The sequence below is a fragment of the Homo sapiens genome, chromosome 10, assembly GCF_000001405.40.
Source record: "Homo sapiens chromosome 10, GRCh38.p14 Primary Assembly".
Classification (NCBI taxonomy): domain Eukaryota; kingdom Metazoa; phylum Chordata; class Mammalia; order Primates; family Hominidae; genus Homo; species Homo sapiens.
In genome coordinates this window covers 19,610,956-19,630,035 of record NC_000010.11, presented here as the reverse complement: position 1 = coordinate 19,630,035, position 19,080 = coordinate 19,610,956, and the positions used below count along the sequence as shown (strand labels likewise).

Below are 19,080 nucleotides of genomic sequence, written 5' to 3'. Positions count from 1 at the left end.
AGGGGGTTTCAAAATTAAAATGCATTGAACTACTTAGATCTGTCAACATTTCTCTACTAAGAGGGATAAGTTCAAAAAGTTCTACCTCATTTGCTAGATTCTGCTTCTGTAAGGCAGAGATCAGCCACCTAGCAACAGCACAAAAGCTTCTACTCTGACATAGTTAAACTCATGCTGGCTGAGCAGGAAGAAAAGCTGTGTAGGATCAGAGCAGAGCTGGATGGCCAGCCGTTCCAGGGCCACTGGGGAGGCCTGATTGGGGAAATTGTGAAATTCAGTCTGAGGAATAACTTTTTTGTCAGCATTCTTAGAAGCTCCAGTCTCTCGAGCGCCACCACTGAGCTGTGTCTCTTGCTTCCATTCAGTAGAGTGCGTTGGCCACATGCACACACATCACACACAGCAAAGAAAGAAGAGGTGTCATTTTCAACCAACGGCTACCCCATGAAGCTTGGCCGTGCACATACTAGGAAAACTGATAAAGTGAAAACTGTGTAGAAACATTTTCCTATGCAGCTACTTTAGGATGGGTGATGGAGTGAGCTTTTTGAATCTCCTGATTCTTACACTCTAGACAGCTATTTCTTGTTCTCTCTTTTAAAGCAAGTCCTCTGGCATTAGATACTGCCTCACAAATAACCCACCACTCCTCTCGGAGGACAGAAATATCTACTTAACAGTCAGGTCATACCAGAGATCTTGGAAAATATCTGGATCACAAATCCCTGTCAGCAATGACCAGCGAACAGAATCTGGGCCATGCCTTTCCTTAGAGGATGCCCTCCCTGGATGAGTCAACAGGTCATTCATTTGGAAGGCACCAACTGTGAATGCTTACAGCTATCATCAGGAGCCTAAAAACCATTTAATAGCTAAGTGTACAAACATATCACGAGGCTTGCTTTTTGGGAAGGGGTGCAGACAGGGGAAATTAGGTATCACTGTGCTTTTCATTTTTGTGACTCTGTTAGCATATGTGATTGGAGTACAATCCAGCTCTGCAAATTAGGCAGGGAAGAAGGCTTGGTGAGCTGGGCGAGAGCAGTTTGTTGCTTCACCTTCAATCACATTCCTGGTCTGTCTTGCTTACTTGGCTCTGCAGGAGGCAGAAAGTGTGTAATGCTTTCTGACAACACGGAAAGAAAAACTGAGGGACGGGCACATTCATCCGCAGGACACTTTGTTAGAAGCAGCCAACTGACTCTGCCTTTTACTGTAACATATGTTAGTATTTTTAAAAATATAAAAACTCTTTTTTCCTTTGTTTCTTACCTGAAAAATTAGCAACATATGTTTTCAAAAATCTTTTTAATGCTTTTTTAAGTTATAAAAAGCAGTACCTGGTAAAATAAAAATGCAAAAATTCAAGTATGAAATCTCTCTTTCCCCCAAGCCAATCTTCTACAGAGCTCACTAACTATTCTTAACAGTTTGATGTGTAACTCACCAGTTTCCTTTTTTTCTTTTTCATACACAGTTACACATTTTCTCCCTCTCCAAATAGGATCTTAATATACATATTATTCTGGCATTTGCATTTTCACCTAACAATATGGATACTTTTCTATGTCAGGATTTATATCTTCTATTTTAAAAAAGTGTTACATACTATTCCATGACACTATTTGGAACATTTAACTGTGTTTTCAATATGGTGCTATTGCAAAATGCTGAGGCCAATATGTTTGTGTTTATATTTCTTGTTAATATGTTAGTAGGCTACATTCCTAGGATTGGGATTGTTGAATTAAGGAACGTGTATATTAAAACATTGAATGAATATTGCCACTTTATTTTTCCAAAAGTTGTATTTTTCTCCATGTTGTATATTTAGAAAAGCTATAGTCCCACAAGCTATATATAAAAGGGACAGTGTTTCTATAGTCTCATAAATAATGGATATTACCAAAAAATGTTTTGTCACTTTAATAGGTAAAAACAGGATATCAACGACTTACTTTGCACTTATTTATTCATTAGTGCATTTATGCATTAGTGCAATGTGTGTTGACCATTTATTTTCCTTTTTCTGTAAATAATGTTTGTCTAGTTTATCTGTTACATAATTTTGTTTTGAATTTTTTTCAGATGTGTGTTGACCATTTATTTTCCTTTTTCTGTAAATAATGTGTGTCTAGTTTATCTGTTACATAATTTTTATTGTTTGAGTATATATTATGACTAATCCCTAGCTGTTGTGTATCCTGTATATTTTCCTCCTGGCCTGGCCTATTATTGTTTTTTCTTCCTTTTTTCCTTTTTTTTTTTTTTTTTTTAGACAGTCTTGCTCTGTCGCCCAGGCTGGAGTGCAGTGGTGGAATATCGGCTCACTGCGAAACCTCTGCCCACCGTGTTCAAGTGATTCTCCTACTCCAGCTTCCCGTGTAGCTGGGATTACAGGAACCTGCCACCACGCCTGGTTAATTTTTTGTATTTTTTTGTAATTGTATTTTTATATTTTTAGAAGAGATGGGGTTTCATCATGTTGGCCAGGCTAGTCTTGCACCTGACCTCAGGTAATCCACTCTACCTGGCCTCCCAAAGTGCTGGGATTACAGGTGTGAGCCACCGCACGTGGCCCTGTTATTGTTTTTTTGTTGCTTTTTTGTTTGTTTGTTGTTTTTTTCTTAATTTTGTTTATGGTGTCTTTTACCACACTGAATACTTTTAAGCATCATCCATGTGATCAAGTTTTCGAATCTGTTTATCTTTTATTTTACAGCTGCTTACTAAGCTTAGAAAAGACCCTCATACTTCAAGATTTTAAACTATTCTTGTATGCTATTTTCCCAAAGAAATTTTATGCTTTTCCCCTATATATATTTTTAATAATTCTGAAGTTAATTCCTGTGTGTTATGTCAATAATAATTTACATTTTAAATTAATGGCTAACCAATTATCTTAATATCAATTATTACATATTCCAACTCATCCATTCTCATTAACTTGAAAACCACCTATTTTATACTAATTTTAGGTAACCACGTTAAGCTATTTGTAGACTTTTTATTCTTTTCCAAGTGTCTATTTGTCTATTCCTGTTCCAGCTTCATAATATTTATTACAATGACTTTATAGCAAGCTGTATTGTCAAGTATTGTAAATACCATTTCATAATTTTGGCTTTAAGTTTTATTTATTTTTCCAACTGAACATTAAAATCCAACTGCCTATTTCAAAATCAAACAAAAATCTAAATTATTAACTAGATTTAATTAGCCAATGTAATTAATTGGCTAATGGTCATTTGTGCAATATTGAAAATCACTAACTCTAGAAAGTGGTTTGTTCATTTTTTTTTTTTCTATCCATTTATTTAGGTCTTCTGTGAGGGTCCTTCATTTGTGCTTTTCAGCACTCTTTATGTGGGTGATGTGCATGTACTATTCAGTATAGGCCTCTATATATTATAATAATTGCTGCTGTTTCAGAATGGAGCCCTTTTCCAATTATCTAGTTTAATTATTGTTACTACTGGTGAAAAGGAAATTCATCTAGTCTTTTATATTTATCTTATGTCCATCTATCTCGCTGAACCCTGTTTTCAATCTAATAGTATTGCAGTACATTTGTGTGGATTTCCTAGGCTGTCAATATCTGCAAAAATATTTGTTTCTTCTTTTTCAATATGTTTAGCTTCTACTTATTTTGGCTTGTACCTTTGGCTAAAACCCCGTGAGCAAATAGAATAATCCAAGGCCTGGCAGACCTCCCTGACTTAAAAAAAAAAAAAAAAAAAATCTTGATTTTAAGGGAAAATGCCTTCAGTTTTTTGACAGAAAAAATATTGAAATTTTTTGAAGGGAGAGACTACAGTTTTGACTTTTAGATTTCTCCTATGTCCACCAACGTATTCAACTTTTATGCCTATTCTTGGGCCAATTTTAGTAATTTATGTTTCTCTACAAAATTGTCTTTTCCATAAGTTAGATTTGAAAATAATGCACCACCCTGCATGGTCTCTTAAGCTTATTACCTAAAAGATATCTAAATATTCTCCACTTTAAATTGACTTTTTGAAACTTTGGAATGATTTTTCTTTGCAAAACAGTCCAGTGTTATTATGAGGATTTTTGTTAGTCCTTAGCACTTGAGTACTATGTTATATTTGAAAAAAATAACAGCAGAGGCCATGGTCTTAAATTTTGATAATTTGTTCTGTATTCCACCTAGTAAAGAATGATTGTTGGTTGCTACGGAGATGATTTAGCTGATGTTAAATATGCAATTGGCAAACAGATTACTAGTGGCTCCCACTTAGATACACAATTTTTAAAAAACATTCTTCAGTAAAGAAAACAACTATTAATGATATATTTCAGCAAGTGCAGTACCCCCTTTTAATTCACAGCTTCATCATGGCAGAGAAGGTGAGTTTTAAACAAATGTACATTTTCATCTTCGGCCTTAGAGAGAGCTTAGGTCATTTTTTTAAGTCATGGAGTTAGTTAGCAGTGGAGCTCATATCCAAACCCGGGTCTGCCTGTTTTTAGAATCATATCTCTTTCCTTTTTCGTACACTGCACTGCACACAGGATATGATCTGTATGCTTATGGGTTCAGGGAATGTTCTAGAGAGGATATTCTACATTAACTGGGAAGTAAAGGATAAATCTGGAGTTTTTCAGTTAGTCAAGGTGGGGAAGCGTAAAATAGGCAAAAGCAACCATATGAATTTTCATAGGAACAAAACTGCACAGTGTGTTAAAAAAAAGGAAACAGCCAAATGCAAATAAAGTTAAGTTTTAGATTTCCTTTAAGGCATTTTATTCAAATTTGTCCTCATAGTATCATGGAACTCTAGAATCATAAGCCGTCTAGTCAGATCTTCAAAGAGGCAACATCCACAAGGGTTGAGCATAGATCGTGGCCAAAGAACTAGGTTTGAATCTGGACTCTAGCTCTGTTTTATTTTTTGTCTCTGGGAAAAGTACTTAATTTCACCATGTCTCATGTCTCTCTCTCTCTCTCTCTTTTTAAAATAGGCTCTCGTTCAGTCACACAAGCTAAAGTGCAGTATTGCGATCATAGCTCACTACAGCCTGGGCTCAAGCAATCCTCCCACTTCTGCCTCTGAAGTGCTAGGATTACAGGTGTGAGCCACTGTGCTCAGCCTCATCTAAATGTTCCCGATCTTTTTTTTTTTTTTTTTTTTTCCTTTTTTGAGATAGTCTCCCTCTGTCACCCAGGCTGGAGTGTGGAGTGCAGTGGTGCGATCTCAGCTCACTTCAACCTCCACCTCCCAGGTTCAGGTGATTCTCCTGCCTTAGCCTCCAGGGCAGCTAAAATTACAGGCATGTGCCATCACCCCCGGCTAATTTTTGTATTTTTAGTAGAGATGGGGTTTCACTATGTTGGCCAGGCTGGTCTTGAACTCCTGATCTCAAGTGATCCACCTGCCCTGACCTCCCAAAGTGCTGGGATTATAGGTGTGAGCCACCATGCCTGGCCTAAATGCTCCTCATCTTAACTGCTAAATTACACATACTATTATCTGCTCCACAGGTTTATGTCATGACCATAGGCATGTCAAACACATGACATGTAATTATCAACAATAACACACTTTTTAGGTTATTTTAAAATTTGAGTCAAATGAAAGAAAGCTACAGAACAGTTTCAGTGATAACTATATATTTTTTCATTTTACTTTAGCTTTCCCCAGAAAATAACTTTTCTATACCTGGCCCAAGGAATGCTTCTTAACTGTTCTATGTTCCTTTGCATTCCATTGTATGGTTGTATCATATAACAGATTATTCATCCATGGGCATTTAGGATGTTTCCAATATTTTGAAATTATAAAAGCAACAGAGTGAGTAGCCTTATGGACATGTATTTTCACAGTGTTAGAACGGTGCCTACAGAATAAATTCTATAAATGGAATTGTTAGGTCCCAAAGTGAATGAATATGTAGTTTTGTGAGAGATTACCAAATTCACCTCCATGAGAATTACACCAATTCGCATTAGCAATTAGCAAAGTGTGTGTTTCTTCATATCTTTCCTATCAGAATATGTTGCTTATTCAAGAGGTGAGAAATGACATCTTAACATTGTTTTAATTTGCTTTTTTAAATAAATGAATCTTTTTTTCATATATTTATGCATTGTGATGGTTAATTTTATGTTTTAACTGAGCTAAGGGATGCCCAGATAGCTGGTAAAATATTATTTCTGAGTGTCTGTGAGGATGTTTCCAGAAGAGATTAGCATTTTAATCAGTAGACTGGGTAAAAAAGATTCACCTTCACTAATGAGGGGAGGCTTCATGCAACCTACTGAGAGCCCAAATAGAATAAAAAGGTGAAGGGAGAGGGAAGTGGTTCCTTCTTGAGATGGGACAACCATCTTGCTGCTGTTAGACATCAGAGGTCTTGGTTGTCAGTCTTGGGAGTTTGGATGTACACCAGCCATCCCCAGTTCTCAGGCCTACAGCCTTGGACTGGGAGTTAAAGCACTGGCTTCTCTGGTTCTTAGTTCTTCAAACTGGGATTGAATTACATCACTGTATTTCCTGGTTCTTCAATTTGCAGATGGCATGTTGTGGGATTTCCCAGCCTCCATAACTACAGGAACCAATTCTCATCATAAATCTTTGCTTATATATCTATACATATCCTATTGGTTCTGGTTCTCTGGAGAACACTGATAAATAGCAGCATCATTCTCTATATTTTAAAATGAATTTTTTATCTCTTTCTTCTCTGTGACATTCGGGCTTTCCCTGTATATTAAAATAGTTCTTTGTGTATTAGGGATATTTGTACTTTTTCTGATACATGCAACATAAGTATTTTCTCTCAGATTGCCATTTATCTTTTGATATTGCTTTTGGTGGTATTTTTTGTCATTAAAAAACGTTGTTAAAAATAAATTTTTATGTAATTAACTTTATCTGTCTTCAAATGCAATTGCATTTGAGTCATTGAAAAAAAGCTTTTTCCTACATTCATAATATAGAGAAATTTACTGCTTATTTCTATAGTGTGTATGGTTTCACTTCGAACTCTGATTTAAGTGAAGATTATCTTTGTGTATATATAGTGTGAGGTATGGTTCTAATTTTACCCTTTTCCAAATACTTACTAGTTGCCCCAATACTCCCTTTTAAAAAGTTCATCTTTGTCCAGAAATTTGAGATGCCATCTTTTATCATTTACTAAATTTTCATATGTACTTGGATACATTTTTTAACTTTCTACTCTGCTAGTCTGAAATGTCAAATTTTCTATTCAGATGCCTGTATAATACAGTTTAATAATAAGAGCTTTATTCTATTGATATTGGTAGGTTCAGTACTACTGAGCTACAAAGCTCAGTAGTACTCATATTCTCATAGCTTCTCATAGCTACTCAGATTCTCATAGTTTGTTTTTTTTTTTTTCAGTGTTTTACTAGCTATTGTTCCACTCATTTCTCCATACGAATGCAATATCTAATTGTTTACCCCTATGAAAACCTTGTAGGTCTTTTTGTTGAGATTGTGTTAAACTTATAGAATTATCTAGGGAGAAGTAACACCTTTACGATGTTGAGTCAACTATCCAGGAAAGGAAATGTTTTTCCACTTGTTTAAGTTCTTCTGGATTGTTTTTATTATACAGATTTGCTTTTATTTTATTAAATGTATTTCTAATATTTTCTCTTTTTGTTGTCAATGTGAATAGAGTTTTTTCATTTTTTCCTTTTAATAGTTTTGTCTATGTATGTAGACTATTAATCTAAGAATACTAATTTTATATCCTCCAAACCTACTTAGTAAATTGTTTTTATTGTTTGAATTAACTTTTATCAATTCTCTAGGGTTTTTCATGTATACCATCATGATAACTTCTTTTCTGATTCTTAATAATTTTTTTTTCTTATTGGTGACTACCTCCAGTACAATATGAAATATCAGTGAAACTAGTGGTTATACTTGCTTTGTTTCTAATTTTAATGGAAGTGCTTTTTATGGTTTTCTCTTAAGGAAGGTGCTAAATTTAGGAATAGGGAATATAGACTTTACCATACTTAAAAAAATCCATCAATTTACATTTTCCATAGTGCCTCTTTTTAAAATATAAAGAATAGATGTTAAATTTTTTCAAAGACTTTTTCACAACTCTGGAGACAATCACGAGTTTTCTTTGTTTCTTTGTTTTCAGAAGTCTAATGCCAACCAAATTCTTTGTCCTCTTGTGTTATTTGGTTCTTTTCCTAGAGGCCATGAAAAATTTTTTTCCGTTTCTTAAAGTTTAATATTTTTACCACGATATACATTAGAGTTTTTGGTTTTGTGTTAAAAATTTCAGGTACTTGCTGACTTTTTCAGTATGTAAATTCAGGTCTCTTTTCATTTTTTGAAAAAAGTTTACTTGAATTATAGTTTAAATGTTAGTTCTGTTCTACTATTTCATTTTCCTCTTTAGGGACTCCAATCATATGCATGTTCTTTTTCTTCCACTTGAACTACTTTCTCTTTGATTCTCCTTATTTTATCTCATTTCCATTTCCTTACTTTTGCACCTTTGTTAAAAATTTCTGAATACATTTACATTTGAATATATCATCCTTTGAAAATGATAATTTAATCTTTACTTTTTCAATTTCATTTTTTCCTGGGTTCAACCAATTCAGTTAATCCAGCCAATTCATTTCCTTGGGTTCAATTGATTCTTACTTTTTTTTTTTTTTTTTTACATATTTTTACACTTAGACTTTAAAATTTTAAATTAAAGTGTTGCATGTATTTGTTTTCAAATATCCCCAATTATATGTTTTATAAATAATATTTAATTTAACTTGGAATTGGAGTTCAAGGTCTTGATGTATTTTATTTTTTACACCATGTTTCTTTGTTGTTTTTTGGGTGGGGAGGGGAAGTGTTCTAACTGAATTTTATTTTTAACAAAGGCCTTGTATGAATGAAAATTTCATTTGTCTCTTCATTTGATGAAATTTGAGATAGTTTACAAGATTTCTAATTTAAGAGCACCCTCTTCTGTCATTGTAGTAAAATGGAATTACTTTAATAGATGACTTTTTTTTTTTTTGGTAGTTGCTCTATCCTATAAACTGGAGAGAAATTTCTTTTTAGTATGATGAACACATCATATGCTTACTCAATAGTTCTTGTTGCACACATAGAAAATCCCCCACTAATTCTTTTTTGAATGGTAGTTTGGGTTATGGTGAGGTCATTTTCTCATATTTCAATACATTTCAAGAATATATTTCAATGTATTGATGCTTTTCTTTGAAATTTCAGGACTTTACATTCACTCATCATTTATTTTGTGAGCACATATTGAAATAACTCTTGCAATCTCAGTTATACATTAGGGATGGGTCATGAAAATGTATTGAAGACATGATCTTTATTTTCTTGGCCCACGGTCTTCAAAATTTTTGCCCATGAACTCTCCAAAGGAGTTTTTGAAAAATTTCATAGTCCCTTTAATTTTAAGTCAAAATTAATGTTTTTCAGGTTAACATTAATCAATTGCAAAAGATACAATTTCCAGGTTACTGTAAATGAAACTGACATCACTCTCTTAAATGTAGACATCGAAAATGTAATTACAATGGTGACTGAATATGCGTCATCTTTCAATACAAAATACCTAAAAGTTTTTAACGGTTAGACGTTTGAATTGGGAGCTAAACATCAAATATACTTGGACACAAAGAAGGGAACAACAAACACTGAGGCCTACTTGAGAGTGGAGGGTGGGAGGACGGTGAGGATAAAACTACTACCTATTGGGTACTATGCTTATTATCTGGGTGATGAAATAATCTGTACACCACACCTCTGAGACAACAAACCTACACATGTACCTGTGAGCCTAAAATAAAAGTTAATAAATAAGTAAAAAAAATTTTAAATGTACCTCTCCTCCTTAAACTAACACTTTGATTTCTCTTCTTGACATATTTTATCCTAATCTATTTCATACTTTAAGGTCTTTGATTATATTATTAATCTTTTTCTGCCACAAAATATAAACAATATATTATTATTATTATTTATTATTATTATTGAGACAGGAACTTACTCTGTCACTCAGTCTGGCACGATCACGACTCATTGCAGCCTCTACCTCCCAGGCTCAATCAATCCTCCTGCCTCAGTCTCCCAAAGTACTGAGACTATGAGGGTGAGGGTGAGCCACTGAACCTGGCCTTTATTTCGATGAAATGCTTTTTATTAACCATGACATTTTTAAGTTGTCACATTTGTCAGATAGTAATTTAGTTTTGATATCTTGAACAAATTATCAGATCAGAAATATAAATTCTTGCAAAAGATAAATAAGAATTAATAGCTAGAAAAACTTGCAATGCAATGATGTCAGTATATAATGTTACACTTTACAATAGATGTTTCTTTCAGAAAAGCAACTGATCTGTTGTGCTATTATTTATTCCTTTCTTTCCTCTTTTGTGTTAGTTTTAAACATTTTTCATTCCTGTTTCATTAATTTATATCATGTGTAATTTGTAAGAAGTCAGCATATTTTATGTTTTTTCAATGACCATAATTGTTGGAGGTATCCTTAAAAATAAAAACTAGTAAAAAGTTGGGCAAAACAAATTCTGATCATCATAAATAACAGAATTTTACTGGAAATGCATTTTTTAGATAGCTAGGGCTGATTTTCAACAGGTCGTTTTGTAAAACTAACACTTACAAAATATTGTGGAAAGGGAAGCAAAAGAGGAGAGGAGCCAGAAGGAGGAAAAAGCGACCCTCCCTGGCTGGGCTGGAATCGGCTTCCCAGAAAAAAACATCACCTATGTTGGATCTAAAGGATGAAAAGGCATCCTCTGGGCAAATAGGTTAACAAACAGAAAGTTCTAGACAGAAGGATCAGTTTATCCAAAGCTTGGAGAAATAGAAGAACATGAGCTGTCCAGAAAACTGGTCTTTTAGAACACGTGAAATTCGTGATGGCTAGGAGATAACCAAATAAAATCTGAATGAGATCTGGCGTCGTGTCAGTGGTTAAATCTAAGAATGCGGAGTCTGGTCTGCTGGTAAGCTGTATTCGAAGTCTACAGATTTTATTCACAGGTCCAAGGCTAGGCAAGATTAGAGAGTGAGCGAGTGTAGACAAACAGAAGAGAAACTGCAAGCATCGTCTAACGTCCCAATATTTAGACAACAGGAAAGAAAAAGAATGGGTGAAGGAGAGTGACAGGCATGGGCAGTGATATCCCAGAAATCAGGTAATGAGAAAGAGCAATCCACTGTAAACACTGCCAAGACGAAAAGGTGAAAAGTAAAGATTATCACTTTATTGTAAATTACAGGTTAAAGTGCCTTTTTAATACAAGGGGTTTCAAATTTACAAGAAGAAAACAAACAACCCCATTGAAAAGTGAGCAAAAGACATGAAAAGACATTTTTTGAAAGAAGACACACATGCTGCCAATAAGCATATGAAAAAAAGCCCAACATCACTGATCATTAGAGGAATGGAAGTCAAAACCATAGTGACATACCATCTCACACCAGTCAAAATGGCTATTATTGAAAAGTCAAAAAATATCAGATGCTAGCAAGGTTGTGGAGAAAAAGGAACACTTATATACTGTTGGTGAAAGTGTAAATTACTTCAACCATTGTCAAAGCAGTGCGGTGATTCCTCAAAGAGCTAAAAACAGAACTACCATTGGACCCAGCAATCCCATTACTGGGTATATACCCAAAGGAATATAAGTTTTACTGTCATAAAGGCACCTCCATACGTATGTTCACTGCAGCACTATTCACAATAGCAATGACGTAGAATCAATCTAAACACCCATCGATGGTAGACTGGATAAAGGAAATGTGGTACATATATACCATGGAATACTATGCAGCCTTAAAAAAAAGAATTAGATTCATGTCCTTTGCAGGAACATGGATGGAGCCAGAGGCCATTATCTTTAGCAAACTAACGCAGGAACAGAAAACCAAACACCACATGTTCTCACTTATAAGTGTGAGCTAAATGATGAGAACACATGGATGCACAAAGGGAAACAACAGACACTGGGGACTACTGAAGCATGGAGGGTGGAAGAAAAGAGAGGATCAGGCAAAATAAAAAATGAGTACTAGGCTTAGTACCTGGGTGATGGAATAATCTGTACAAAATCCCCCATGATGAGCTTACTTAATAAATATTTAACTCAATAAATTTTGGATAAATAAAACTACATGTGTAGGTTTGTTACATAAGTAAACTTGTCATGGGAGATTTTGAACCTAAAATAAACCCTGAACCTAAAATAAATGTTAAAAGAATATATAAGGGATCTAGGAATTTAAAATTGTGTGTGTATGTGTGCTTGTGTAAAGAAAAATATATCTAAAGGGATACAAACCTTACTACTACAGTGTAGGATTTGAGTGTCAAGAGTTCTACTTTTTGCCTGATATACTACTGTATATTTTAAAAAGACTCATGACAACCCACATATATTACTTTTTTAGTACGTAATTTTAAAGAAAGAAAAACTTGAATGAAATGGCTAAGCTATTACAATATGGACAAAGTTTCAAAAGTTATTTTTTCATACCTACATTCTAGACAGCACTAATTCCAACATTTGTTTGCATTGATGTTCATTATAGTTATTTCACTATTTGTAAAGTATTATTTGCTATCAAAAATAATACTTTAGGATATTTGATTGACTTTCTTAGCAGTGAATTCCTTTCTACATTTTTCTCCATTGACTTCCTTTCTTCTCTCAATTCTCTGTCTCATCTCCCTCACCTTAGAGTTCTCCCATTTGAGAGAAGTTTAAGACTTCACCATCTGGATTTTAATTTTTCAAGTTTATTTAAGACTACGAGAGTGTTGCCAAGAATGTAAAGCTCTTTTCTTGCTCTTTCTGGGAGTTTTCTGGCTTAACTGTCAGGATTAAAGCGGACAAAAATCAACCTCTTTACTGTAAGCAGTTGACATTAAATAATATTATCTACTCAGCTGATATTTAATAAACTTTTTGGCATCATTCAAACTTCTTTCAGGAGATTTTAGAAATTAATATTATGTATCCTGTCTTTCCATCAAGTAATAGTTTCTGATAAATTAATTTCCACGGAAACTGATATGGGGAAAGTATAATTTTGTTGACATGTTGAGAAATAAATTATGTAAAGTATTGAAAGAGAAAAGAGTTCCAAGAAACTCATTAGTAATTACATTTCAACAATGTTAAACTAAAGCAGTGTCTAAATATGGTCCATCATAAAATTTTTGTTATTGTTTTAATTGGTAGAATTTTTTTAGGAATAAATTACTTTTTCTAAACTATGTGTGTTGATTAAGACAGGAATAACGACTCAAACAACTATTAATCATTGTTTTTCAGATACCTTTGTGTGTTTTGTAATGACTTGAATAGCAACCTTCAATGAGTTTTCTAATAAGGAAAGTGATATATCCATTGGTCTGCTAAATTATAAAGGCATAAACACAATTATAATGAAATATGCATCATTTCCTTTGGAGTTTTTGAAACTGTTTTGCACAATTCCCCAAAGGGTGAGAGAAGAAATCAAGCCATCTTTGATATGCAATATAAATATTTCCCCAAAGAAATCACAACGCCTATTTTTGTTTACTCTTGCTTTGAGTATGCAAATGTATTTCTTATCTAAACCTTAACTTTACTTATAAATACCCACTGCATAAACCAGCAAATGATTTTATTTATAAATTAATTTCATCCTTTGTTAAAGAGAAATAAGAACATTGAAATGAAAAGAGAAAATACAGACACAAAGTTTATCTGAAATAGAAAGATATTCATATCAGAAAAATATCTTTTAAAAACCTGATAGAAATAATAAATGCAAGGAATAGTGAGTATTATTAAAATTATATATTACACATATAAAATGTTGAAAAACATGCACAATCATAATAAAGAGATATTTCTCTAAAATGCACTCACATATTCCTTTACCTTATTCAGACAGATAAATGTAAATAGTACCATTATCCACTATTTTTACCTTACTAACCACAAACTGATTGATGCTCTATTATATCAGCCTATAGAAAAATAAGTAAGCCAACTCCAAAAAATCTTAAAAAAAAAAATTAAACAATGCTTCTTACCGACACATAGGACCATTTTTCTCCACTACACAAGTCCCACCATTTCTGCAGTAATTTAATGGACATTCTAAAAAGAAGCATCACAAAGACACCAGTTAATTATAAATAGTATTAGGAGGAAGAAGAAGATATCACTATTTGTCATTACATTAAATCTAATCTCTAAGAGTAAATTCCTTTCCAGTTGCAAAAAGCAAAAGAATTCCCATAGGCTACTTTCCTGTACTCTCTTCAAATTTGTTCTCTGGCCCCTGCTGCCCTGAATGTGTTCATGCCCTTCGCATGCTTGAATAATCCGCAAAAACAGAAGACTTTTTAAAAAATTATTTACTTGTTTAATTTTTTAATTTTTATTTATTTTTTGCTATTTTTTCTTTCTCTCTTCCTCTTTTTTTTTTTTTTTTTTTGAGGCAGGGTCTTGCTCTGTCATTCAGGCTTGGAATAGAGTGGCATAAACACAGCTCACTGCAGCCTCAACCTCCTGGGCTCAAGCAATCCTCCCACCTCAGCCTTGAATAGCTGGGGCCACAGGGGCACACTACTACACTTGCCTAATTTTTAGATTATTGTAAAGATGGGATCTTGCCATTGTTGTCCAGTCTGGTCTTAAACTCTTAGCCTCAAGCAATCCTCCCACCTTGACCTCCCAAAATGCTAGGATTACAGGTGTGAACCATCGCATCAGACCTCTTTTTATTAATTGACATATAATAATTTTTCATATTTATGGAGTACAAAGTTATATGTATATAGATAGTGTATAGTGACCAGATCAGGGAAATTAGCATATCCATCATCTCAAAAATTTATCATTTCTTTGTGTTGAGAACATTCAATATCCTCCTTGGAACTATTTGAAACTGTACGATATATTATTGTTAACTATAGTCATCTCACAGTGCTTTAGAACACTAGAACTTCTCCCCTGGATTGGGTATCATCTACTTATTTAGAATGTGTCTGCATGACATATTTGTGATAACAATAAAGTGCTTTGTTTACTGAAATATTTCTCTAGTTCTACACAACAGTCCTCATGTCATGGCAGGCAAAAGCCTTTTTTGATAAGTCACTCACTTATGAGCATGCAGATGTCCTACCTCTGCATCCACGATCAATGTCAGTATAACTCAAGTTCGTCCCTGGTCCTCCTATTTCACTGCTTGTGTCACTCTCTAGTTCCAGTTTAACAAGAGCATTTATTTTCAAAGGTGGTTTACTTATAGGTTAAAAAGAAGCTAAATATCTTCATAGAGTAACTACCGTGAGAGTGGTTAGCACAGTTAGCTCCTGATGTTGTGTTCATATGAACTGCCTCCTTATTTCCTCATGAGACATCTTGACCTACTAAGGCCTGTCAATTCCCCTATTCAGTTAAGACCCAAGTTGCTCCTAGGCCTTTTGTTTTTACTTAACACACTGCAATTGTACATATTTATGGGGTATAATTCAACACCTTTCTTGCAGGATACCACTGCTCCCTTGTTGGGTTACTTTAACTCTAACACTTGATTAAAATTTCCTCTGTCTTTAATTTTAATCGAACAAATTTATTCTGAGTCCCTATAAAATGTCTGCCACTGGGCTGGGCACTGGAAATATAATGATAACATAGACATCTTAGTATAGTTGTTCACACTGAGGGCACAGGAGCCCAGTTGCTCTTCTCAGCTCAATTTATTAGCTGAGTAGTATTGGGTAAGGTAGTTAATCTCTCTGTGCCTCTGTTTGCTTTCTGTAAACAAGGTTAACAAACAATAAGTATCTCATAGGGTTGTGAGACTGTTAGAAGAACAACCAGTTCATAGTATGAGTTTAATAAATGTTGACTTTAAAAGATATACAGCCATGGTTCCTGCTCCTACTGTCCTTCCAGATGAAAAAAAAATGTGAGTGTGGCATTAAAATGCAGAATGAAATTACTCTATTGGGATGGATGTTCTAAGGGTGATGGGAACACCAAGAAGAGCACTTCGGTCACGTTTGGGGAGTAAGAAAAAGCTTTCCAGAGAGAATCAGCAGCCATTTATTTGGGCAGTAGTGGTAGTGTGTGTGTAAAGGTGAACATAAAGATCCAGAGGCCAGAGAAGAGGGTGTTGCATGTTTGAGGAACTGAAGACAGCCCAGACTGGTTGAATTGCTCATAATACAAAGATAGTGCAGAAAAAATTCAGAGACACACAGCTTCTGGGTTACATCGGCCCAGCAGGGCCAAGATTTTAAAAAGGAAAGTGTCATGTTTCATGTGTTAGAATTCTGGCTGCAGTGTGTCAAGTCAACAGAAAGACCAAGACTAAAATTTGGGAGCCCCGTTAAAGAGGTTTTTGTTGGTAATAAACTAGCAAAAATATAATGGTTGCCTGAACTAAAGGATTAGGGTGGGGTTGGGGGTAGAAAGTTGTTGAATTTTTAAGAGATATTTAAATATTAGGATTGAAACATCTTGGTGACTATTTGCAAGAGTCGAGGATAATGGCCACACTTCTGGCTGGGTCATTGGCTAGTTGGTGGTTTCTTTCACTGAGGGGGATTTATGGAGAATTAAGATTTTTAAAGGAAAAGATAATGTTATATTTTAAGTGCATAAGGGGCATCGAAGTAGAAGTGACCCGACCTGTGGGCACTGGAATTTGCAGGTCTGAACCTCAGATGAAATATTTAATATGAAGTAGAGATAAAGATTTGTGGTCTTTCTTCAGATTTTTTTCTCTGCCTTTTAGATAGCACCACTGTTCAGGGTTTTTCCTCAAGTCATTTTGACATCATTGCTTCTGGTACATAGATATGCTCCTTGTCTTTGATAAGCCCAATCTTAGCAGAGACAGGGAAAACATTTACTAGAACAGATAAATGATGATAATCATGAAGGATAGTGAGAAAATAGAGAACTAGAAATTTTATGTAAGCAATACGTATTGAAGTAAAACATACAAGGAAAGGGTGGCATGAGAGAGTAGCCTGTTAAGCAGTGATAAGGTTTGGTTCTGTGTCCCTATCCAAATCTTATGTCAAACTGTGATCCCCAGTGTTAGAGGTGGGGCCTAGTGGGAGGTGACTGGATCATGGGAGTGGTTTCTAATAGGTCACCACCATCCCCCTAGTGCTGTCTCATAATAGAGTTCTCATGAGATCTGGTTTTTTGAAAGTGTTTAGCACTTCCCGTTCTCTCTCTCTCTCCTGCCGGCCAAGTGAATATGTGCTTGCTTGGTCTTCCATCATGATTGTAAGTTTCCTGAAGCCAGCTTAGAAGCAGAATCCTGTCTAACCTGCAGAACCATGAGCCAATGAAACCTATTTTTTTTTTAAATAAACTACCCAGTCTCAGGTATGTCTTTATAGCAGTGTGAGAATGGGCTAATAAAGGCAGTCATTGCACACTAGAGAAGGGATAGCAGGCATTAAGAAAGAGGAAAGCAAGGAAGGAGGGAAGTTGCAGTATAGGATCAAAACTGAAATATACCTTGAGTCTGGCATCATTTTTGGTTTCAAAAAAATCAGCAATTTGTTTTCCCGGGGATGTATTTCCCATCTTGCCCTCCCTTAGTCCTCCTTATTTAACTAATTACATAAAACAGGGGAGTAAGGTGCCAAAGATGAGAGTAAGGAGCTCCATACCTCAGGACTGGGGGGCATGCTCCTCTGAACAGAACAAACATAAGCTCTCCTTTACAAATAAGGAATTTGCTGGTTTGACTGAAGAATAGCCACCAAGATGATAAAGCACATATTGGTATAAACCTTGTTAGATAAGCTGTTTTATGGTTATTTTTGATCTTAGGTACAATTTCAGTCTTCCTCAAATATGTATTTTGTTTTATTGAAACATGAGAAGAGTGTCTGAGACTGCAGAGTATCAGAAAACAAACAGTACAGGAGTGCTGACCATTTTTGGGTGGGTCATTCATATTTAAATTTACTACAGAAAATGAAACATAAGCTTGCTTTACATCAGAATAATTCTGTGTGAATCTAAATATGCATTTTTATGCTCTATAGTGGAGCACAGTGCAAAGAACACAGATGTTCACTGGAACCAGAGGTGAATCCTGTTGTTTAGCAGGGCAGAAAACTCACAGTTCATCTCTGTGATAAGATTTTATAAGTTTCTACTTTAGACCCAGGTTCTTTATCCATAATACAGAAAGACACGGCACAAAGTATTTTCAGCTTTGATTTACTCAAAACAATTTTAAGGAGAGAGCAAATGAAATGGGGAAGGAGACGGATATGGCTAATTAGCCATGAAGAGGCTGAGTATTTCCAGGAGATAAGTAGATATAATTCCCAATATGGGAACTGGGAATCTATGGGATAATATTACCATTAGCAGAGGTTCCCAATCTTTAGCCACAGCAATGTCTCTCTGGTTTGTACCCCTTTGTGTTGGTTATTATGAATATGTGTATGGAGGCCAATACAATTCACAACTGATTACACAGAAATATCATTCTGAGTATTTCACATTGAATCCCATTCTGATACATCTCATTGGAAAAGCAGGAACATGCATATAAAAACAATAGTAACTTTTAAACGTAAATAGAAATAATTTGCAAGTAAGCCTTCATTTTTCCCCCTTAATGTACGCAGAGACTAGGGAAGTGACAGGTGCTATATACTAGTTTGCTGGGAAGATTGATAACCACCTAAGTCCTGGTGTTCCCTGATGATACCTGGCTCAGTCATTTAAGACTTATGGGACTTTGAGCTAGGTACTCTAAGTATAAGATTCTTCATGTAGAAATATGTATGATAGCACTTTCTTATAGGACTGCTAGGAAGGTGAAATTAAATTTGTTAGAATTTTTATACTAGTGAATGGTGTGTATAAGGTATTAAATAATTGTTCTCAATCATCTTTCTATACTGGGGGGAGTATTTGCATTGCCTATGAAACCTAGTTTCCTCGATCTTGTTCTCTCCATCTTCTCCTTCTTCTCTTCCTTTTCTTCCTTTGTGGTTATAATT

The 19,080-nt window shown here is 34.8% G+C and overlaps 1 protein-coding gene across 9 annotated transcripts in view; it reads right to left on the bottom strand.

The window, feature by feature from the left end:
• The window catches only part of MALRD1 (MAM and LDL receptor class A domain containing 1), a 687,552-nt gene that overhangs the window by 104,443 nt on the left and 564,029 nt on the right, over positions 1 to 19,080 (bottom strand). For all 9 annotated transcript variants that reach the window (XM_011519453.3, XM_011519455.3, XM_011519454.2 and 6 more), the window contains one exon: positions 14,113 to 14,179. In XM_011519453.3, the coding sequence (XP_011517755.1) occupies positions 14,113 to 14,179 (67 nt within the window). The remainder of the gene's footprint in view (positions 1 to 14,112; positions 14,180 to 19,080) is intronic.